A 24,816-nucleotide genomic window follows, 5' to 3' on the forward strand; every position below is an offset into this window, starting at 1 on the left:
ATTTAAATGGAAAAGTGTTAAGAATTGGGGTCTCACCCATGGAAATCAGGTGGGGAAGAACATTCTAGGCAGGAAGGACACATGCAAATCCCCTGGGGCAAGAAAAGGCTGAGCTTTCAGTCAACTAGCATGAACTAGGAAAACTAGCACAAAAGGAGCTTGGAAAACGTGTAGATTTTGGTTTAGAGATGAGCAACATAAACCAGGAAGCGATAGTAAGTAAGAGTTTGAATTTGATTCACTGGAGAAGAAAGTCCTGAAAGATTTAAAAAGAATGTAACTTATGCTGAGTAATCTGGCCTGTATTAAATAGCCTGCAGAAGGGCAAGAGGTGAAACAGGGGAGTCCAGTCAGAGAGTTATCAAAGTAGTCCAATAAGAAAAGATGATAATTTTTATTCAGGTGATAGTCATGGAATTGAGGATATTTGGAGTGACACATCATACATATTTGTTGCTTATGATCTTAATATTAGTAACATCAGCCATACCAGATCAAAGCACCTGCATTCAACCTTGGCTCCAGCTTCCTTAAAGCTCCACTTCTTCCACTGTCTGTGTTATGTTTGTTCACATCTCTCTTGTCCCCGTGTAGATCAAAAGCTCCTGTGAGATTGGGGGCTCCATCTTACCCGTCTCGCATGCCAACTCTTTTCATCCCTTCATTCCTCTCCTAGAAACAAGCATATAATATTTGTGCAACAACAACAAAATATGGCCCAAATAAATAAATGATGAACATCACAGAAGGCAATTTGCAAGGATAACAATTCTCTCTACTTCTTTTCTTCTCTAGAAAAGTATTACAAGTCTCCTTCCTCTGAAATTTGAGGTGCCCTGACATTCCTCAGAATGCTACCCACAGCAATAGTGCAGAAAATTCTGCCCAATTTTATGGCTCAGAAATAGATTCTTTGAACTTCCCATCATAATCAGAGGTGAGTTCTTGGCTCTGGTATTATTGCCAGCAATAATTAGCTCCAGTTAAACTGCCTCTGTGCATCCTGGCAGGCAGATCACCTACATCAATAATGCTACCAGCTTAAGCTTGCTCTGGGGAGACATTGTGTGTGACAGACTTTATTTTCAGGGCAAACTGCCATTGAATGCAGTTGCAGAATCCATTGCTCTGCCCAGTTAAGCCAGAACTGTATTTGATCAATGGGCCTTATGGGTGAGTGTCAGAATAATAAGGCCACTAATCATTTGCAACCCCATGGCACCATTCATCAAGGGATCTCAGAGAACTTTACCTGAGTTAATTAATACTGGCAACGCCTCTGTGAACTAGATAAGTGTTATTATTCCCATTTTACAGATGAGGAGACTGAGTAATGGAGAAATTAACCCAATGTTGCTCAATAAAGGGATGAAAACTCAAATAATACCTCTGAGCCTCTGTCTGCCTTGTCAATTAAATGCATCAGCTCATCAGTACTAGCTGGCTGCTTCTTAGATGATCATGTTTTATTGATGTACACTGTTAAGCAGCTGTCACATTTCACCTCCTTTCCATCAAGGAGGAAGTAATTCTGGTTTGTAGCAATTGTGGTAACAAATGCTAAGGAAAGCTAAGCTGACTTCCTTCCATTATATTGTTCACTATCTGCCCTAGATGACTTCTTTCTCAAAAAAAAAAAAATCTGGACAAAAATTTTTGATATGTTATATTGTACCTAAAGTAGTTGGGAGTAGTTTTTGACACAGGAGGAAAACACGTGGCAGTCACATTATTCAATCAGGGAAGAAAACCTGCCTTGATATAAAAATAAAAAGCAAAAACTCATTATTTTACATCAACAATGGAAAAGTTACTGAAATAAACATGTGAAATGTCTCATTTAATGCATCTGAGGGGAGAATAAAAAACTTTGAAAGCTTCAAGCTATCCAGGTAGAAATTTTTAAAGCCCTTACTTTGGTCAGAAAGTGATAAAATTTCTGCTTTTTGCAGGATTGCAGAGTTAATGGAAAGGTGAAGGGCAGAGAAGCCAAGCCTGAGACAGATGTGGAGAAAGGGAAATTTGTTTTCAAGGCCCTCCCATGACCTTTTCTTTGTTTGCTTTCTTGCACTGTAGCATGTGACTGTGCAAGAATGTGATCTTAGGAATAGGAAAATATTTTCCCGTATTTAATTGAGTAACCTTGAACAAGATTTTCAATTTCTCTAAACCCCTGTTTCCTCATCTGTAAATCTGGAATATTAGCCTTCTTGCAGGATTATAAAGAAGATGAAGTGAAACAGTGGATGTAGGAGTCTAATTTGGTGCTTAGCATTTCGTAGATGGTCAAGGAAAGGTAGATAATGCTACTATTGTTAGCAGCCACTCTCTCTACCTTAAACCACTGCACACCCTCCAAACCTGCACACACACCTTAGCTATTCAGCATGCTCCCTGCTGGTCTAACAAGAACTGACCCTGCAAATGCTATCTCTATTTTCTGCTTCCCCCTTCTCTACAATCCTGTCGTTTAGAACGTCCTTGAACAGTCAGTTGACCAGTCAGAGCCTCAAATTGTTCATCTGTTAAATGAGAGTAACAGCTCCCCTCTCCCTACCTTATCTCTTAAGATTATTGTAAGAAACAAATGAGGGAATAACTCAGTTTGCATTGTAAACTCTAGCATACAATACATTTTGACTTTTAAACGTTACCATTATTATTTCTTAAGACTTAGCTGAGGGAAGAAAACCCATTTTAATTATTCACAGTAAGAGATTAATGACAAAGAGTTAGTAGTTTACCCCTGCTAGGTAACATTGGTTCATTTTAATAGGCACATTTACTGCCTTAATCCAAAACGAAATATTCGTGAAAATTCAAGGCAGAGAAACAAACAAGGAGAGAAATTCATTTGAATGAGAAAATCCCTAAAGTGATCCTCTATGTGCTAACTTTTAGAGAAGGACTGTTCTGGCACATTTTGCTATCTTTACAAACTCTTTGCTCAGTACTCAGAGTTGATCCCATGGAAAAATTGTGACATAAAAGAAGTTGATCCTGTGGTCTCCAAACAGCCTCCCTGTCTCTGTTCCCAATACTGAAAAGATTTTCTTGCATAACAAACTCAATTTAAACTCCTCTTTTCTCCTGTTCTACAGCTAAGAAGAGTTTTCTGCTGCAAGTGTTAATTGTCCTGGCAGAGATGCCTGTCCTCTCTGTTTGCAGCAGTGGCTGTGCTAAAGGATTCAAAATATACAAAAATCTATTGTTACCTCCCCGAATAGAAAATGCTATTAAGAAAAGGTCTTTTTTTTATAGAAAAATCCGTGCTAACTGTTTCAGAGGTAGAAAAGTAAGCCCAGTACAAATACAAAATCCAAGTGCCAAAAAGCTAATAAAATGATAAGAAGATCCTGGCACTGATTTTCAGTGCTTGCAATGACGTGCTAAAATATGCCAAGTCATGCTCAGGAAGAACATTAGGCTGTTCCTATAAATGGGACCTACAGATCAGCTAAAGCAATAGAGTCTAATTACTATTATTAATAATAGCAAGAGTATATTAATCTCTCCTATCAGCAAGCAGGTATAATATTGAACTTTTCTTTCAAAGACAGCTATAATGCTATTATTTACTATTCTAGGCATTTTTTTCTGCAGTAATAGTTACAAAATGATTAACACAATGATATCCCATGCTGCACTGTCAAAATTCTCCTAAATTCTGTTGGAGAAAAGGATGGTCATGCCCTTCAGCTGAAGAGCATAGGAGTCGACTCACAAGAAAATGTGGAAAATAAACACCAGCTTAGCTAAGATAATTATCTGAAACAATGATAATCAATGAGGCATCTCATATTCATCCATCCATCTATCCATCCATCCATCCATCCATTCATCCATCAATCTCTCTTAAACATAATCTTCATGATCTGCCACCACCATCACCAGCACATACTGAGGCATACCCACTGATAGTAGACCCCAAATTCTCACAGGAGGTCAAGTATGGCAAAGACTCAATAAATTTCATGCATTCTTACACATTTCTCATATTGGGGCAATAAAGATTGTGTGTGCTAATGAACTGCGAGAAAATGACTTCCATCAGTTCAAGAGCAAGACAGTTAAGGGTCTGTATGTGTCCTTCACATCTCCTTTCCCTTACTAGAACAATTTTGGAGGTCACACATGCCACATGTCATACCTCCAAATGGATAAGACCACCCAGCCTGCATCAGTTTCATATGAGAAAAGAAGGATACTCCTGTTTTATTAAGCCACTAAGACTGTGAGGGTTCATCTGTTTCAGCAGCTAGTGTTAATTTTTCTCATACGTAAGACCCCAGCTTGATTTTAACATGATCAGTGATTTGGGGATATCATTCAACCTGCTGGAGTCTATTTTCTCTTGGATGAAACAAGGAAATACCCTTCTCTAAAGCGTTCTATAATTTGTAATAAGATCCTTGAGTATATAAGAAAAAGAAAACACACGCCAAACAAATAGCTATGTCATTGTTGGATTTCATCTCTAGGTTTCTCTTACTCTACAGACAAAATATATTGTCAAAATATATTGGCATTCTTAGAGTTTTTATGCATACTATTTAACCCACTGTATTGTAACTATTTGTGTACACATCCTTCTGTGTTTTTTTGTTGTTGTTGTTGTTGTTGCTGCTTTGGTTTTGTGTTTTGTTTTTGCATAGAACTGTGAGCTCCTCTGGGGGCAGGAATTGCCTTTTTGATCGCTTTATCACCAGAGTCTGGGACAGTGCTTAGCAATCAATAATTTTGTTGTTGTTGTTGTTGAAATGTAATTATGAATCTTGAAAAGAAAGCTTGCAATAGCTTATCTGTCTCTTCCCTGCCACCACTGAGGAAAAATTGCCATAGATGATGCGTAAGGAGTTTTAGAGAATGGAAGCGCATACAAAGGAGGGACAGAGGCTGAGACAGAAAGAATGAAAAAGCAATTGAGGAGACTAGACAAGAGAACAGGAATAACTTATTGATGTCAAAGGGGACATGAAGAAGGTACGAGGGAGTTAAGCCAGGTAACATAATAAAAAGTCCAGGTCAGAGCACAAAGGCCATCCCTAGCAGAACACCTCATCATTTTTTGAAGCCGAAAATGAAATGTGACTGACAATTGGGAGTTCAGAGATGGGATGAACGTGTATCCAATATATATATATTTTATTTTAACCTGGGATATGCATTGCTGGGACTTAGAGGGAATGAAAATTTGAGATCTGATGGCAAGGCCTCAACTCTCCAGATGTCTGGGGCCAAGGAATATAAGGCAGGGTGAATTGGTCAGGATGCTGGTGACAGTTTCAAACTTGTTTGACAAGTAGAACAAGACAGGATGATAGGACTACATGCCAAATGGAGTATTAGGCCTCTGCTATTGTCTCAACTAATGTAATCAGGGAAAGAAAACATTTTATGCTGTCTATCACTAAAAATGTCCAAACAAGGGTTGGAATCTCAACAAGGCAAAGGCTGCTCTTCAGTGTGTCACCCTGTTCCTTAGAAGGCCATTTGTTTTAATACTAGTTAGCCACTGGTCTTTACCTGAATGCTTCCCGTCACTGAAACAAGAATCCTTACTCTTTCAACACGGTGTCTCCTGCCTCTGAAACTGATCTTTGGTATATTATCCCCATTCTGGGGAAAGTGACAAAGCCTGGTAAGCAACACTCAACAGCAACCTGCCTGAACCTTTGTCAAATTCCACCTCCACTGAGGCTGCAGCACCCAGACCAAGGAGCTAGCTGCATAGAAGTATATCCAGATCAGGGTCTAACTTGCAGAGTGCCCAAAAAAAGGCAGGAGCTAAAGGGTATTACAGAGCAAAGTGTTTAGGTAGTTCTGAGAGTCAAGTATAAGCCCTGAACCCAGAAGGCAGCAGCAAAGGTAAAGCTAAGAAATGGAATTCATGATCAGGAGACAGGACCACTGGAATAGACGGGAGGAGGTAAAGAGTAAGAGTATAATGTTTCTACATCAGTATTTCTCCAAATGTGTTCAACAAAAATGTATACCTCAAAAATATCCGCCTCTATACGCTAGTTCAAATACATGATGTTCTTTCTGAGCACTTCAGTTCCAAAAATATTCCTTAGAACAATTCTCCTGTATCTAAATTCTTTTCATAGGTTCTACGTAGTATTCTTGCACCTACAACTTCACCAGTTACTCCTACTACCAGGAGGCCTCCTATGGGCTAGAATACCACTTTCAAATTTCACAAATTCAGTGGCTTAAGCCTTTTGGCCTCCTCATGAGTAACCCATCAGGGATTGTCAACCTGTCTGTCTCTTTGTCTACTGGATGGGACTTTATTTTCCTACCTGCCTCTCTCATGTCATTTCTGCATTAATTTCTGGGACCTCTTAACCCTCTTCACTTTCTCCAGGATCACTGTGATGATAGGTTCAGAATTCCTCCCTTCAATGCAACTAGGTCAGTGTGTTGTTCTGTCCTCAGGCATTGACCCTTCAACAATTTCTCAGTTTCTAGGTGATTTTCAAGTTCCAATGCTGATTGCTACATGGGTGAAATTGCTAATTATATAGCATTGATGTATGTGGTGTCCCAACAAGAGTAAGCTGTTAGCCCGTTCTGCCTAACTGAAAACATTTTGCATTTCTAACCAAGATTGCTAATATTATCATTTTTTTGTTTTAATTTGGGAAGGAAAGTCTCCAGTTACCAGCTCCCTAATTTCTCCTGTTGTCTCATTATCCAGAACTGGGTGACATGGCTGGCCAAGGGGAATGAGAGGATGATTGGATTACATCAATCATGATGCATTCTGGGTCAGGAGTCTGAATTCCTTGCAATCAAGGGATTCCTACCAATTACCTGAGTCAATTAGAGTCTGGTATCAAGAAACAAAGGGAAATTACTGTTGAATAGGACATGGACAAGGTCTATTCTATTTTCATTTATAAGAGCATCATCAAGTTAATTAAGAAAATTCCACAAATTAAAACTGTCCAACAACCCAAAGAAGTCATGAGTTCCACTCAAAATAATCTCTAAGGAAATGTAATTTGACCATCTTAATGTATATTATAGATGAGTATCTGAAATAGATACTAATTTCCCTGCCCCACATAGCAGGAAAAGTCATTATATAATAGGGGAAATCATGAAAACACTACAGGTGAGGACAAATGAAAAGAGAAAGATTTAAAAAGGAAATTTGACTCACTCTACAACTTTTCCAGGACCCACAAACATATGACTTTTATTGTCTGTGGCATAAATGGTTTTCCTCCATTTTTTTTTTTTTGCCTTCCTACTTTAGTAAAGGAATTACTAAGTCTCAGTTTTGCATATGTCTGCTCAATTGAAGACTGCAGTTCCCAGCTTCCTTTACAGCTGGGTGTGGCCATCCTAAGTTTTATGTAAGGGAATAGGAGTGAAAGTGACATGTTCAACTTCCTAAGAATAGCCTTAAATTCAGCAGACCACTTCTTCTGCTCGTCATCCTCGTTTCTATTGCCTGGAATGTGTACATGATGGTAAATAATCTTGAATGGTGTAGGTGAGGGCAAAACACTTGAGATAGCAGAGCAACAAAACAGAAAAAGTTTAGCTCCCTAACACTATGGGGCCACCAAACCAGTCTGCATTGCTTATGCTCAGATTGTTACATGAAGGAAACCTAAATTTTTTTGTTTAAGCCACTGTTATTTTGATCTTTGTTACATGAGGAAAATCTTTATCCTACGTTGACCCTCCTCCATTTCAAACAATGGCTTTCGCAAATCTTTGATGGGTCTCTAATAGCTCGACTAATCTTACCGCTTTATCTCTGTAGATGGCTCCATATCTCACTTCTAGAAATTAAGGGGATCTGGCTGGAAATCTGAACCCAGTTTTAGTCAGTTCAAGCTGATATACCAGAATACCATATTACGGGTTACTTAATCAACACATATTTATGTATTACAGTTCTGGAGGTTGGCAGATACAGAGACTGGTGAGGGAACTCTTCCTGGTTTGCAGATAGTCATCTTCTCCTTGTATCCTCACATGACTGAGAGAGAAATCATCGCTTATGTCTTTTCTTACAAAGACACTGACTCTGTTCATGGGAGCTGCACTCTCATTATCTAATTACCCCCTGGTATGGCTTGGCTGTGTCCCCACCTAAATCTCACCTTGAATTGTAATAATCCCCATGTGTCAAGGGTGGGGACAGATGGGGATAATTGAATCATGGGAGTGGTTTCCACATTCTGTTCTCATGGTAGTAAATAAGTCTCACAAGAGCTGATGGTTTTATAAATGGGAGTTCCCCTGCACAAGCCCTTGCCTGCTGCCATGTAAGACACGATTTTGCTCCTCATTCATGTTCTGCCATGATTGTGAGGCCACTGCAGCCATGCCACACTGTAAGTTAATTAAACCTGTTTCCTTTATAAATTACCCAGTCTCAGTATGTCTTTATTAGCAGTGTGAGAACAGACTAATATACACACCAAAGGCCATGCTTCTAATACCATCATATTGCAGGTTAGGATTTTAACACACAAATGTTGAGGTGACACAAACTTTCAGTCCATATTCTTTCTCTGGCCCTCCAAAATTTATGGCCTTCTTGTATGGAAAATACATTCATTCCATCTGAACAATTCTGAAAGTCTTATTTCTCTTCATCATCAAGTCTAAAGTTCATAATTCATCTAAATATCATCTAAATCAGATACGAGTAAGACTAAGGTGTGATCCATACTGAAACAAAATTTTTCTCCAGCTATGAATCTGTGAAATCAAACAAGTTATTGTTTCCAAAATACAATGATGGGACAGACATAGAATAGATATTGCCATTCCAAAAAGAAAAAATTAGAAAGAAGGAAGTGGTAAGGAGTTCCACACAGTTCCAAAATGTAGCAAGGCAAACTCTTAGAGATGTTAAGCCTTGAGAATAATCTTCTTTCACTCAATTTTCTGGCTTCCAGGCACACTTGGGTATCAATGGCTTGGTGCGTTGGGCCTGCTCCTTCTACCTGAAACTGCAGCTCTCTACAATGGCCCCACAACCAAAATCAGACAGGCAATTCCACCCTTAGAAGACAAGGAGCAATTATCCATTCCCCCGTGCCTGTAGTAGGAGTGGCAGCCCTGTAGATCTCAGAATCACCTTTGGGGACCTTCTTTTCTTTTCTTGACAGACAGCACATGTTCACAGCCTTCTTTCCATTTTCTCTGTTTTCTTTAGCCCCAGCTGGCAGTGTTTCTGCTGGTGTAATCCCATCTTTATCCCTAGCTTCTGTTGAGATGAGTGATTAAGTCCTCAGTTCACACTCACACTAATCTTATCAAATGGTCTATCTGCCACACCCTTAGAGCTGTCCTCAGAATATGCGTTCTCATTTCTTGCAATATGGATTGGCTGAGAATGTTTCAAATCTTTAATTTCTGGGACATTTTTGCTTAACAATCGCTTCTTCAAATCATTTCCCTCTTCTTGCTTTTTACTGTAAGCAACCAGGAGGAACCAAGCCACTCCTACAAAACTTTGTTTAGAAGTTTCCTCAGCTAAGTATTTAATTTCATTGTTTGCAAGTTCTACCTTCCACAAAACACAAGTACATTAATATAATTGAAGTCTTTTCTGCTTTATAACAAGGCTTGCCTTTTTGCCATTGTTCAATAGCATATTCTTTATTTCTGTCTGATAGCTCATTAAAATTTTCTTTAATGATCATGTTTCTACGAACAGTCTGTACACAATTATTTATATATTCTCTAAGAAGACAGAAGCTTTCTCTAGAGCACTGATTTTTTCTTTTACTGAACTCTTACAACCAGAAACACCTTTAAAGTTCCTTTATAGCAATGTCAGCTTTTTCTGGCACGTTGATATGGTTTTGCTGTGTCCCCACACAAATCTTATCTTGAATTGTAGTTCCCATAATCCCCACATGTTGTAGGGGGGACTCAGTGAGAGGTGATTTAATCTTGGAGGCTGTTACCCTCATGCTGTTCTCATGACAGTGAGTGACTTCCCACAAGATCTGATGGTTTTTTAAGGGGCTTTCCCCCTTTGCTCAGCACTTCTCCTTGCTGCCTCAATGTGAAGAAGGATGTGTTTGCTTCCTCTTCTACCACAATTGTAAGTTTCCTGAGGCCTCTCAGCCATGCTGAACTGAGTCAATTAAACCTCTTTCCTTTATAAATTACTCCATCTTGGGTATGTATTGATTAGCAGCATGAGAATAGACTAATACAGTAAATTGGTACTGGGAGTGGGGCTCTGTTTTAAAGATACCCAAAAATGTGAAAGCAACTTCAGAACTGGGTAACAGGCAGTTACCAGTTGGAACAATTTGGAGGGCTCAGAAGACAGGAAAATGTAGGAATGTTTGGAACTTCCTAAAGACTTGTTAAATGGCTTTGACCAAAATGCTGATAGGGATATAAACAATAAAGTCCAGGCTGAGTTGGTCTTAGATGGAGATGAGGAACTTGTTGGGAACTGGAGCAAAGGTGACTCTTGCTATGCTTTAGCAAAGAGACTGGTAGCATTTTGCCCCTGCCCTAGAGATCTGTGGAACTTTGAACTTGAAAGAGATGAATTAGTGTATCTGGTGAAAGTAATTTCTAAGTGGCAAAGCATTCAATTAGAAGCAGAACATAAAAGTTTAGAAAATTTGCAGCCTGACGATGCCACAGGAAAGAAAAATCCATTTCCTGAGGAGAAATTTAAGCCTGCTACAGACACTTGCATAAGTAACAAGGAGCCAAATGTTAATCACCAAGACAGTGGGGAAAGTGTCTCTATGGCATGTCATAGACCTTCATGACAGCCCCTCCCATCACAGGCTTGGAGGTCCAGGAGGGAAAAATGGTTTTGGGAGCTGGGTCCAGCGCCTTCCTGCTGCATGCAGCCTAAGGACTTGGTACCCTGTATCCCAGCTGCTCCAGCCATTGCTAAAAGGTGCCAAAGTACAGCTCAGGCCACGGCTTCAGAGAATGGAAGCCCCAAGCCATGGCAGCTTCCAGGCAGTGTTGGGCCTGCAGGTATGCAGAAGTCAAGAATTGAGGTTTGGGAACATCCACCTTGATTTCAGAGTATGTATGGAAATGCCTAGATGTCCTGGCAGAAGTGGGCTGAGGGGCTGGGCCCTCATGGAGAACCTATTAGAGCAGTGTGGAAGGGAAATGTGGGGTTGGAGCCCCCACATAGAGTCCCCACTGGGGCACTACCTAGTGGAGCTGGGAGAAGAGGGCCACCATCCTCCAGACCCCAGAATGGTAGATCCACTGACAGCTTGCACCATGTGCCTAGAAAAGCCACAGACACTCAATGCCAGTCGATGAAAGCAGCCAAATGGGGGCCTGTACCCTGCAAAGCCACAGGGACATATCTGCCCACAGCTATGGGAACCCACCTTTTGCATCAGCATGACCTGGATGTGAGACATGGAGTCAAAGGAGATCATTTTGAAACTTTAAGGTTTAATGACTGCCCTATTGGACTTTGGACTTGCATGGAGCCTGTGGCTCCTTTGTTTTGGCCAGTTTCTTCCATTGTGAATGGCTGTATTTACCCAATGCTTCTACCCCCTCCCCCTCCCTCCCTCCCCCTCCCCCCCCCACCCCGTATCTAGGAAGTACATAACTTGCTTTTGATTTTACATGCTCATTTGTGGAAGGGACTTGCCTTGTCTCAGATAAGACTATGGACTTGGACTTTTGGGTTAATGCTGAAATGAGTTAAGACTTTGGGGAACTGTAGAGAAGGGCATGACTGTGTTTTAAAATGTTAGGATAGGAGATTTGGGAAGGACCAGGGAGGGATTATGTGGTTTGGCTGTGTCCCTGCCCAAATCTCATCTTGAATTGTAGTTCCCACATCCCCATGTGTCATAGGAGGGACCTTGTGGGAGGTAATTTAATTGGGGTGGGGGGCGGTTACCCTCAGATTGTTTTCATGATAGTGCGTGAGTTCTCACAAGATGTGATGGTTTTATAAAGGGCTTTTCCTCCTTTAGCTTGGCACTTCTCCTTTCTGCCACCAAGTGAAGGACACATTTGCTTCCCCTTCTGCCATGATTGTAAGTTTTCTGAGGCCTCCCCCGCCATGCTAAACTGTGAGTCAATTAAACTTCTTTCCTTTTTAAATTACCTAGTCTCATGTATGTCTTTATTAGCAGTGGGAGAATGGATTAATACACATATACTGCAGATTCTTCCGGCCTCTACTCATTACAAAGCTACTTCCAGATTTTTAAATATTTATTAAAGCAGTACCCCAATTCTTGGTACCAATTTGTGTATACTCAACCCTTTGTATCTGCAGGTTCCACATCCACAGATTCAACCTGCCGTGAATTGAAATATTGAAAAAGAATAATAATACAATAATAATAACAAAAATATAAAACAATACAGTTTAACAACTCTATATATAGCATTTTCATTGTATTAGGTATCATAAGTAATCTAGAGATGATTTAAAGAAATGGGAGGATGTGCTTAGGTAACTATGCCATTTTATATAAGGAACATGAGCATCTGCAGATTTAGTATCTGCAGGGTATCCTGGAACCAATTCCCCTTGGATACTGAGAGACAACTATGTTAGGGTTCTCCAGAGAACCTTGGCTTATGCGATCATGGAGGCCAAGTCCCACAATCTGCTGCCTGAAAGTTAGAGACCCAGAGAAGCCAGCGTTGTAGTTTGAAAGCCTGAAAGCCAGACAGCCAATGGTATAGATTCCAAAGTCTGATAGCCTGAGAACCAGAAGCACTGAGGGAAGAAGATCAATATCCCAGCTCAAGAAATCAGGCACAGGGAGGGTGAATCCAACTTTCCTCCACTTTTTTGTTCTTTTCGGTCCCTCAATGAGTGAGACGATGCTCATCCATATTGGAGAGGACCATTTGCTTTATTCAGTTCACCAATTTAAATGCCAATATTTTCCAGAAACACCCTCCTGGACACCTCAGAAATAATGTTTCATTAAATTCTAGGCATCTCATGCCCCAGTCAAATTGACACATAAAATTAACCATTATACTTTTCAACCCACCAATCTATCTCCATTCACATCTATTTTAAATTTAGACCCTCCCACCATCACTGAGTAAGTGAGTAGGCAAACTTTCTCAAGGAACTTACTGCATTTTTTCCTCTTATATAATGTTAACAGTACTCTGTTGTTATAATGCCATTGGCATTAATATAAGCTTGGGTTCTCCAACTCTGCTTGTGTTTTTGTGTGTGAGTGTGTATATGTGTAGTTGAAAAGCAGGGGTGGAATTGAGAAAAGGGCAGCTTAAGAAGGTGTTTGAAGAGCATTCTTTATCTCAGAATTTGTGATTTTCGTGATAAAATATCTAGAAAAACACAGAAATAGATGGGAGTGCATAATAGACCAAGAAACTAAGATTGACAACTAATCTACTGCCAAAATCTTAAAGGAATTTCCTCTAATTATAATATTCATGAAGTGGAAATGAGAAACACAATTGTCAGGTGACAGTAATACATACCTTGTCACCTGCAAGAGATCAAAGCTGCCAATGTGAAGGACAATGCAGAGGCACATCAACACATTTGTCTATGCCTTGGCTCAGGAATACAGAATCTGTGACAACTGCCAACCACGAATTGATTGCATAGCTACAGCTCTACCAAATAGAACATAGAACACAAATTCTACAGTAGCCGTCTGTGTGTGCATACACACACGTACACACAGGCACACCCACACACATATATATTGCAGATGTAAAGGATTACAGGCACACATATATTCCACCCCAGATTTCCCAATTTGGACTTGTCCTTCTAAATAAGTTCAGATATTAAAAATTTCAGGAAAGCTATGGACTATAAGGCAGAAAAGGGCATATGACATATTTACATCTTAGAATACAACTCCAGTAGTATGAAGACAGGCGAAGAGAAAAAACCATGTAATTGAAACACTAAATTTACCAATATTGTTTCAGGACAAGAAATAACTACTCACTGATTTAGATCATATGTAAATAAATTTTTATATAATAATAATAGCAAATATTAAATATGGAACACAAAATGGAAAGTAGGTTACATGAATCCTAATCTCACTTATACATCTTACAAGCTATGTGACCTTGAACAATTTACTTAACATGTTTCTACTTCAATTTCCTCACCTGTAAAATGAGAATAAAAATAGTTGGGAAGATTCTGTCAGTTAGTAGGTTTAAAGTACTTTATGTTTGATATTAATATCAGTCCTGGTGATGATTGATCACAGTGATGTATGTGCTAATATTAATAGCACAGTGATGTATGTGCTATTATGGTATTATCTTGCCCATTTCACAGATAGAATAAAGTGAGTCTTGAAGAGCTTCAACTACTCTTTTAATAATTGGTAGAACAAGAATTCTAATGCACCATTTTATGTATAGAGCTAATACTCTAATTACTATACTATACTGCCTCACACAGCAAGTTAACAATACTTTAAGAATAGGTAGTCTCTCCTAAGACCAACAGCACATACGATAAATGACTGCTAGACACCATAAATGTGGGACCAATCCATGAATATCAACAAATCTTTATGCTTGAGATCAAGAACTGTATTTTAATAGTAGTCTAGGGCTGAGGGGAAGCGACTGACATAGTCTGTCATCAACCATGCATAGCGCTCCTTTGTTTAAAGGCGACAACCCTGAAAACAGAAAAAAAAACTGTTTCAGTGAAAATATTCTGTACATTAAAAGAAGGAAGGGACAATTAAGATGCAGAAAAATTGCACTTTAAGAAGTTACTAAAGAAAGCAGAAATTGCAGAAATATTCTTTGTAATCTCAAAGGAATATGAAAACTATAGTCTGAATGAAGCGATGAAAGATGAGATTATATGAAAATAAGTTGAGATAAGAAGGGAATTGGCTGAGAGGCAGGCAAAAGTAAAAATGAAAGTCTGCCATGATAAATAAAGATTATAAGAAGATTAAAAATGCAATAATAGTATAGAAATCTGCATTAAAAGCAATAAAGAACAACATTAATGCTGTAGAATTAGTGATGATGAGTTTAAGCTCTAGAAACTATAGAAGAAATGCAGAATGAAGAAAAACTCAAAGATGCAAATGTTGATGGTAGGAATAAAGGGCAGAGAAAGAGAGGTCAGTTATGAGGATACTTGGTTTTTTTTAGAAGCACAAATCACAATGAATGCAATTATTAAAAATGTTTGAAGAGACGTACATGTAGCATGTGTTCAGTGAGTTTACAGATCATAAAGGATTACTTAATACATGGAATACACCTGACTGACATTTTAAAAATTGTATTTATAGATCAATGTTACTGCTAATTACATGATATAATATGCACATTTGGGAAAAATTGAAAAATGTAGACAAGAAAATATTTTTAAATTTTGCCACAATCCCATTATATGGAAATACTATTAACTGTATGCTGGATATTACTTCAGACTATACATGAATATTAATTACATTATACAAACTTACAAATGTGCACACAAAACATGCATGATGTTTTGTATAATATGTTTAGTCTATAATTGTACTATAGATTTTCTCTTCAAAACCAACATTTTTTCATTAGGGATCAAAATATATTCATGGTTTATAAAATCAAGCAATTGCAAAATGTTATGAATAAGGGAAAATTTAAAAATCACTCCAAATCTTGTTGACTCAGAAATAAATTCTACCACCATTTTGAAGATCATTCTTTAAGATATCTCTCTATGCAAATGGGAACCTATAAATATAGATTAGATGTGAATTTTACTAGAGGTAAAAAGACAGAAATAGTTCGAGATAGAAATAGATATAGACATTTTTCATAAATGAATCATATAGCCAATGCTCTATTAACAATGCATTTTCACTTAACAAGGTATTGAACATACTTCTGTTAATTAATATAGATTTGTTTTATTATATTGATTTCATTCGATTACCTTAAATGGCTATGCCATGATTTATTTAATGCATTCTCTTTTGATGGGCACTCTGGTTACATTTAACCTCTCTGAAACTTAGTTTTTTCATCTGTGTAATGGAAATAAATAGCACTACTCTCAGGTTACTTTAAGAATAAGCTGAGTTAAGTATACAGAAATTACAAAAGTGCATAGTGCATAGTAAGAGCTATATAAATATTTGATATTTTAAATATTACATTTAGATTATATATAACATAATGTTATCTAAACCATAAACAACCATGAATATAACTATAATGAAGAAAAAAATCTTATGCATGCTTTTTATAAATTAGTTTGATTTTATTTTAAGCAGGACTAGAACCAGGTTTTGGGGTCTGAAAATGCCACTTTTAAGAAGTAAAATTCAAAATTAAGCACTGAGATATCTAAGAACTTGGAAGGAAGTCATGCGAATTAGACACTCTAAAGCTTACGCTTTGGTACCTTCATTGAAAAATATGCCTCATTCTTTTAGAAAACATTTTGAATCCAAGAAGGTGGGGGACCATTTATGGCATAGTGATGTATTTTTAGATAAAACCTAGCACAACACATGTATACTAGATCTTCAATACATACTAATTGTATAGCCTTGGGGGGATTACTGGATCAAATAAAATTTTGCTACAATTGGCAAACTTACTTCCTAAAATTTGTACCAAATTTAGCTCCACTCCAATATTCATAAGAATTCCCATTTTATTTGAGTCTTACCAATGCTGGGCATTTTGTTTGGTTCAGTTTTGTTTTGTTTTGACACACTAAAGTTTTTAAAATATGGATTCACATTTATCATCTTTCTAAAGAATAACCATTAGGTTTCATGTCATGTTTAAAAAGGTCTTCTATGTTCCAAGAGGATAAAAATAATCACCCACGTTTTCATCTCAATATTTTATAGCATCATTTTTTAGATTTAAATATTTGATCATTCTAGGATGCATTGCGTTATAACAAATTACTTATAAATCTAATGTTTTCAATGCTTAGTCAGTTTTTCCTCTGAAATTTTTGATTAATACTGATTTTCCCTGATAAATATAGATAAATATATAGATAAATATAGATAAATATAGATAAAACATTATCTATATTATATACTGAATTTCAGCATGTAGTTAAATTAATATCTGAAGTCTCCATTTTCTTTTAATGATCTATCAGGATTTCAACTAAGATTGGTTTGGATTAATAAATTAAGTTAGACAAAAATGTTTTCTTTACAATATTAAGCCATCTTATTCAGAATAATATATGTCTCTTCATTTATTGGAATCATCTTTTATGGCCCTCTGTAGACTTTTAGGGTTTCTTCATGTAAATTTTGAAAATTTTGTTAAATTTGTCCCAGAATCTTTATAATTTTTGTTATTCTTTTTTTATTATTATTTCGAGTTGGCTATTACATGATATGTTAAAAGCCTATGTAAATTATATTTAATTTTGTAGTCTCCTTAATTAATTTTCTTATCAATATATTTTTCTTAATTTTTATTTATAGATTTTCATTCGAATATTTTGATTTATCTTATTAAGTATACTTTTTTATTTTTTAGTAATATATAATCACATTATAAAAAAAGAGTATAAAAGATAAATAAGTTTTCCAAATATTCTGACTTGCCAGAAACAATCAATATTTGATGTGTCTTTATGCATACAAGAACTCATATTTTTAATCTATTTAAACAGACATAATAAGAGTAGAGAGATACATACACACCAAGACATGCTAATATGCTAGTATTAAATTAAGAAGGGCTTAATTTCATGTTACCTGAACTTAAATGTAGTCAAGCTAAAGGAATTAATATACTTCAGTTAAAAGGCTTTTTATTTGATTTTTAAATTAAGAGATATTAAATTCTTTAAATTCTTCTGAGCTTAAGGAAAAAATATTAAAATTACTAAGCTGAAGGCGTGATATATTTAAATACATGTTTAACGTGGAAACATTTAATTATTCCTTTCTATCAAATGTGAAATATTTAGATTCACACATTTCCTCATACTTCATCCTTCCTCTAATTACGACTCTTTTTTTTTGAGACAGGGTCTCCCTCTGACATTCAGGCTGGAGTGCAGTGGTGTGATCACAACTCACTGCAGCTTCAACTTCCTAAGCTCAAGCAATCCTCCCACCTGAGCCTCTGGAATAGCTGGAACTACAGGTGTGTGCCATCACTCCTGGCTAATTTTTTAAAATTTTTGTAGAGACAGAGTCTAGCTTTGTTGCCCAGGCTGGTCTTGAATTCTTGGGCTTAAGCGGTCTTCCCACCTTGGCCTCCCAAAGTGCTGGGATTACAGGCGTGAGCTGTCATGGCTGGTCTTATCACTTTTTACGCATGTATTTTGTTTCACATTTTCTAGCATTCAGGTTACGCTCTGGAACCACCATACCCAGTCACTTCATCTTTTTTGTACATTTAAGTAGAATTAAGATGATATGAATTCTCCCCCATGTTTGAGCTCTTCATTTTAATCCACCTTTTGGTTAGCTTTTAGTATATTTTTTCCAAGTAGAATATTTGGGTGCTGTCTTCTCTGAGTTTTTTTCAAGATTATATGTCTTTTGTCCCACATGTCTATTGTTCTGTCTAGTTGAGCATATCGTAGTTGGGCATTGCAATTTTAAGTAACACTTCTTTTCCCTTGGAATTTTGGAGATGTTATAATAGTTTTCTGAGAAGTCTGAGACCAATATAAATTTTTTACCCTAGAAAGTACACTTGCTTTGTCTATGTGGCTACCTTAAGAAATCTTTTGTTATGATTTAAATTTAGTACTAAGTCAAGTTGTAGCTAGAAGCATATTTTTGATTCAATTCTTCTAATAGATGGTTTAGAAGAATTTTAATTCTTTAAGTATTTTTATTCTTCCATATAAGTTTGAGAATATACTTACTATCTAAAATTTGAGTTATATAATAATTTCTTGGGTAGTTTATAATATTAGGCCATTCCACAGATAGAATATAATTACCTACTTAGTAGTCTTGTAAGATCTTTATTATTTCATAGATTAAGAATAGTGTCTGTTTAAATATAGATTGCATTTTATTTTTTATTTTATTGCAAGTGGATCTTTAGGTTATTTCAGATTGATCTTATAACTGATAAGATTACTTAACTTTATATTTGATAAAGTTGTTTCCACTTTTTATTTCTTCTGGGTAGATAATCATATTCTTTGCAAATAATGATAGTTTTAGGTCTTACCTTTCAGTCTCTACACCTATTATTTCTTTGTTTTCTAAGAGATTTTTTCCAGTGCTATGCTTTTAAGAAAAACATAATAATGGGCTTCGTTGACTTAAAGAGAATACATTTAAATTATTCTGTTACATATGTTTACCGAGTATAGAGAATAGGAGGTGTATTGGCCAGATCCTCTCCTCCCAGATTGAAGCTCTAGTTCTCCCAGCTGTTGGCATATTGAAGGCCAACAGCTCTTATCCAAGTCTGCTCAAGACTTGACTTTAGCTGAAGACAACTTCCTTGCACAAGGTCACGCCTTTTTCTCGGTAGCATCCTTTTATCTAATGATGGATAGATTTGATTCCCTAAAACCCTGGCCCTCTTGTCCCAAATGGCCTCAACTCTGAATAGCTCATACTAGTTTCCATTCTCTGTACAAAATTGAAGTCTGTCACAAATGCATAGCAGTGGGCCGTCTCTTGCCCAGTGCTACTTTGTTTACTTCTTCCAAACCCCAAGTATTGTTCATGTGAGCACGTCCCAGGAAACTTTGAAAATGTCTGTCTCAGTAGGCTTCCCACCAGTGACATGAAGATAGGAAGGGCTCTTTAATATTTTCGGTTTAGTAGGAATGTTTTAACATGAATGCATGCTAAAATACATTAAATGTATTTCTTCATCTATTGAAATAATTGTATAATTGTTCGCTTATGTTGATGTAATATATCATCATATGGATACTTTCTGATGTTAAGCCAACTTCACATTCCAGAGATAAACCTAAATTAAGGATCATAATATATTTTATAAAACTTGCTGTATTTACTTACCTTATATATGTATAATATATATATGATTAAAATTTAATATATGTTTCTATTAGGTTTTTAAAAACATGCATTTATAAGTGAAGTGAGGCTATTATTTTCTTTTTTGTACTTCCCTGAATCAATTTTATAATAAAAACTATACAAGCTTTAGCAGAAAACATTGGTTATAAGGTTAATCAGCATACATGAGGTTAAATCTATAATAAAAACAATCTCCACATCTCAATGTTTTAAACACAGCATTCCAATTTTTTTCATGCAAATAAATGAAAAATGAAAAATGCAGCTTTCAACATTTCTCTAACCAAATTGTCTTCCATATAATAATTCAATGACCAGGTCTATCTTGATTTTGCAGCTCAAATGTTAGATACTTAAGAAATAACTCCATTACCACTTAGAAAACTTTAGGCATCCCTCTATTATTTTTCTTTCTCTCTTTTCACATTTCTTAGTGTTCATTATGTTACAGTTTGTCACTATTGTGTGATAATATGATGTTTATCTCTCCTCTAGATTGTAAACTTCAAGAGTACAAAAAACCCTTTCTCCCTAACCCTTGTCAGAGTGGCTAGCATATGTTAGAAACTAAATAATGTTTGCTTGATGAATAAAGTACACTATTAAAGTTAACTTTGAATCATCTAAAAAATTTGAATAATTGAAAGATATGTATCTCAACCAGAAGTGTAAAAATTATGAAGTATAAACTTTATTAATTTATCAATTATTAACTGAAAAGAGAGCATCAGCCATTTAATTTATTTCTTTAGTTAATTACTTTCTGGATTGTAAAATCCATCAGTAGCACAAACTGAACAAAAATAACAAATAATTTTTTTGATAAATAATTGACTAATTGTCCCTTTTAAGGTAATGAGTTATATTAACAAAAGACCACGTCTATGACCGCAGTATAGATATAAACACCAATGGGGATAAAAGGAAAGCACGATAAGCTCGTGTCTTCATCACTTAAGCCAATTTAAGAATCAGGGTTTATTTAGTTTTGCCCATCCCAATTTTTGAAAAAAAAAAAAAAATTAGAATGTCACTGGGTAAAACAGGATCTCCCAATTTTACAATGTATCTATGACCTACTATTTACGAATACATGTCTACTGAACCTATTTAAATGACTTCGTTGGGATTCAAGTTTATCACTCTTGCCCTTTTCTAAAGAAATTTAGAAAATAAAAAATGAGCACTGCAATCAGTTAGAAAATGAAATATTATTTTGTAAATGTCCCTAGAACATGCTTCAGAAAATGATTTACATTTCATTTTCATTCATTACATTCATTGCATATTATTTCATTCAGGAAATAAGGGATTAATGTACTCACTTAATACAAGAACTTACAAACCAAAAAGAAAATGTAAATCAACATTTCGAAAAACTAACGTATATTTTATGGCATGTTCACATAGAAGAATATTATATAGCCACTAGAAGTAATGATGTAGAAAAGGCTGGGTGTAATGGCTCATGCCTATAATCCCAGCACATTGAGAGGCCAAGGCAAGAACATCACTTGATCCCAGGAGTTAGAGACCAGCCTGGGCAACACAGTGAGACTCTGTCTCTACAGAAAATTTAAAACTTAAAAAAAAATTAGCCAGGCATGGTGCTGCGTGCCTGTAGTTCCAGCTATTTGGGAGGCTGAGGCGGGAGGATCACCTGTGCCCAGGAGGTCAAGGCTGCAGTAAGCCGTGATCGTGCCACTGCACTCTAGCCTGGGTGACAGAGAAGAAAGGAAAGGAAAGGAAGAAGGAAGAAGGAAGGAGAAAGAGAGAGGGAAGGAAGGAAAAGAAAGAAGGAAAGAAGGAAGGAAGGAAAGAAAGAAAGAAAAAGAAAGAATGACATGGATGTGTAATAACTTAGGAAAGGAAATATATATATTATAAACTCAAAAAAGTTAAAAAAGTGTGTATTGGATATAATCTTTTCATTAAAGAGGAAGAGCTAGGGAGATAAGGAGAAGAGGGGAGGAGAAAGAACAGGAGGGGGAGTATGGAAGAGAAAGAAGGGGAGAGAAGAGTAGAGGATACAAAGGTGTTAAGAGTAAAAGTTTCAGTTCCTTGATGCCTTGGTGAAAGTCTAGATTTGCCTCTTAACACAGAACTTGGATCAAGTTACTGACCTCGGTTTGTCTTAGTTTCCTCATTAGCAAACGGAAATGATAATAATAGTATTTCCTTTACAAGGTTGTTTTGAAGTCCAAGTAAGTTAGCATATATAACAAATCACTTAGATTTGTGGCTAGGAAACATTTTACATTACAGATTCTAAGCTATTATAGGCAATTGTTTCAAAGAAAAAGAAACTGGAAATACACATTTCAAAGAAGTAGAATCTTGACGTTGTGGAATTATGTTTGCCAAACAAGGATTCAGACTCTGAGCCAAGCTGCCTAAGTTGAAATCTTGCCTCTGCCTCTCAAGAGCTTTCTGTCTTGGGATAGATTATTTAAACCTTTTATCTCTCAATTGTCACATTTGTCAAGTGGAAAAACAGCAATAACTATCTCAGAGAATTAACTGAGCTAATGAATATGAACGGAACACAGTGCTTAGCCCATAGCAAGAGCTGCAAGAAAGCTGGCCGGGTGCGGTGGCTCACGCCTGTAGTCCCAGCACTTTGGGAGGCCGAGGCAGGCAGAACACGAGGTCAGGAGAACGAGACCATCCTGGCTAACACGGTGAAACCCCGTCTCTACTAAAAATACAAAAAAAAAAAAAAAAAAAAAAAAATAGCCGGGTTTGTTGTAGTCCCAGCTACTTGGGAGGCTGAGGCAGGAGAATGGCATGAACCCGGGAGGTGGAGATTGCAGTGAGCCAAGATCGCGCCACTGCACTCCAGCCTGGGGGACAGAGCAAGACTCCGTCTCAAAAAAACAAACAAACAAAAGAAAGCCCTGTCATATCTAAACACTTTCTCTTTAAGAAGGAAATAAGGTTTTTTTTTTTGTTTTTTTGTTTTTTTTCACACGATTGCATGTGTAAGGTATATTGGAAGGAGTGCATGCCTGTGTTTTAAGAATTTTAATTGGCTTATGTAATGAGTCAAAGTTGAAAGGTTTAGCAAAATTCCATCGTGGTGTAAACATTTATATGCTCTTGGTATTTTTTTGTAAAGGTTTGGCCTATATAACAATTTTTCATTATTGCTTTGTCTCTCCTTCATAATTCATTTTTTTTTTTTTTTGCAATTTGGACTTTTCTTATTGTTAAACTAGTATTTATTCATTTCCTCACTCTTCATTTCTCTGAAGAACCTCGTGCCTCAAAACTTGAAAGACAACAGAGGAAGTGTTGAATACCTGTTTCTCTATTTTTTAAAGTTTAAGTAAGAAAGTAGACATTCAGACCTGCATCCTCTGTTTAAGATCTATGCGGCATCTGAAAATCATGTATTCTGATCTCAGGATAATCTCTCTTGCCATGAAAAAGATGTACTTTACATTGAAAACTTGCACTAACCTGTGTGAGCTTTTCATTCTAAGAAAAGTTCTTATTAACATCATTGACATAATTCCTAGGTAAACCATAAGGAACCTTTCTTATTTAATCTTGCCTATTTTTGTGGTTGGTACTATCTTGGAATCTGAAATACAACAGTGAATAGCTCAAATAAGGTCTCTGTCTTCAAGGAGCTTGCAAATTAATGAGGAAAAGGCAATTATACCAATAGAAAGATGGAGAACACATAGAAACTGATTTTTTTTTTAATTTTAAATGTCCAACACCCACACATAATTTTAAACTCACAAACAATACATCATTTTAAAAATAAAATATCATCTTTACCTATCCAATTAAACTTAGAAAATAATAACAATATGATTTTTGTATAAGAAAATAAATGAAAAAGATATCTAAATATCCAAAAAGAGTGAAATGCTCAAATGAATTATGGTGCACTCACACAATGAAAAATTATGCAGTTCTGTTCTCTGAGGGAACATGAGATTAAGTAGTCACAGGATTCTACCCTTTGGGCATATCAATAGTAGCATTAAGAATTGGATATCATTTCAGCACATTTAAGACTGAAGCAAGAAATAGATCTTCTCAGTTAGCCACCATGTGTCGCCTGATCCTATTTATAAGGCTCTTGAACATTAAATGGCTCTTTGAAAATAGTTTTTTTATACCTTAAGTGCAACTTGAATCAGAAATATACATATTTTGTAGCTATTTGAATCACAGAAATGATTGAGTTTTTGTCAGTTTAAGAGGGATTATCAACTGTGCATATTATATCTTTGAAATGCCAATGGGCTCTCTTCTTTGGATTTTTACCAGCAGAAGAACACACAGTATTGTCAGATATGATTTTGTTTGCATCTCAGCTTTGACCACGCATTACCTTTGCAAATATCTACATTCACTTTAGCATATTTTACTTATCTGTAAAATGGAGATTACAGTGAATGGTTTTAAAGTATTGAATGGATTCAGATTTATAGAGCATGTAGAACTGTATTTGTGTCACAGTTTACATTGTGAAGATAAGTTTATTTCTACCTCTTATTTTTTCCTTTATGGCTTCTGCATACCTGATGGGAAGACCGAAAGATGTTTAGCTTTGGTTGGAAAATTAAATCTTCAAAAAGGAAGAAAGAAAGATGGAACCTGGGTCGGGGAGGGGGTTGTCTTTTGCAGTAGCAGAGTTAGGCCTGCTTCAACTCTTAGCAACCAGAGAAACTTCACATTATTCAAGACAGAGCTCAAAGGAGTCCACATAACTGATGAGGGATAAGGAAGTACCTGGTAGCTAATAGGAGTTCCAGGCAAATATAAGGGAACACAGACAATTTTTGGACCCCAACCATCTGGG

Source organism: Homo sapiens, chromosome 4, assembly GCF_000001405.40.
Source record: "Homo sapiens chromosome 4, GRCh38.p14 Primary Assembly".
Lineage (NCBI taxonomy): Eukaryota > Metazoa > Chordata > Mammalia > Primates > Hominidae > Homo > Homo sapiens.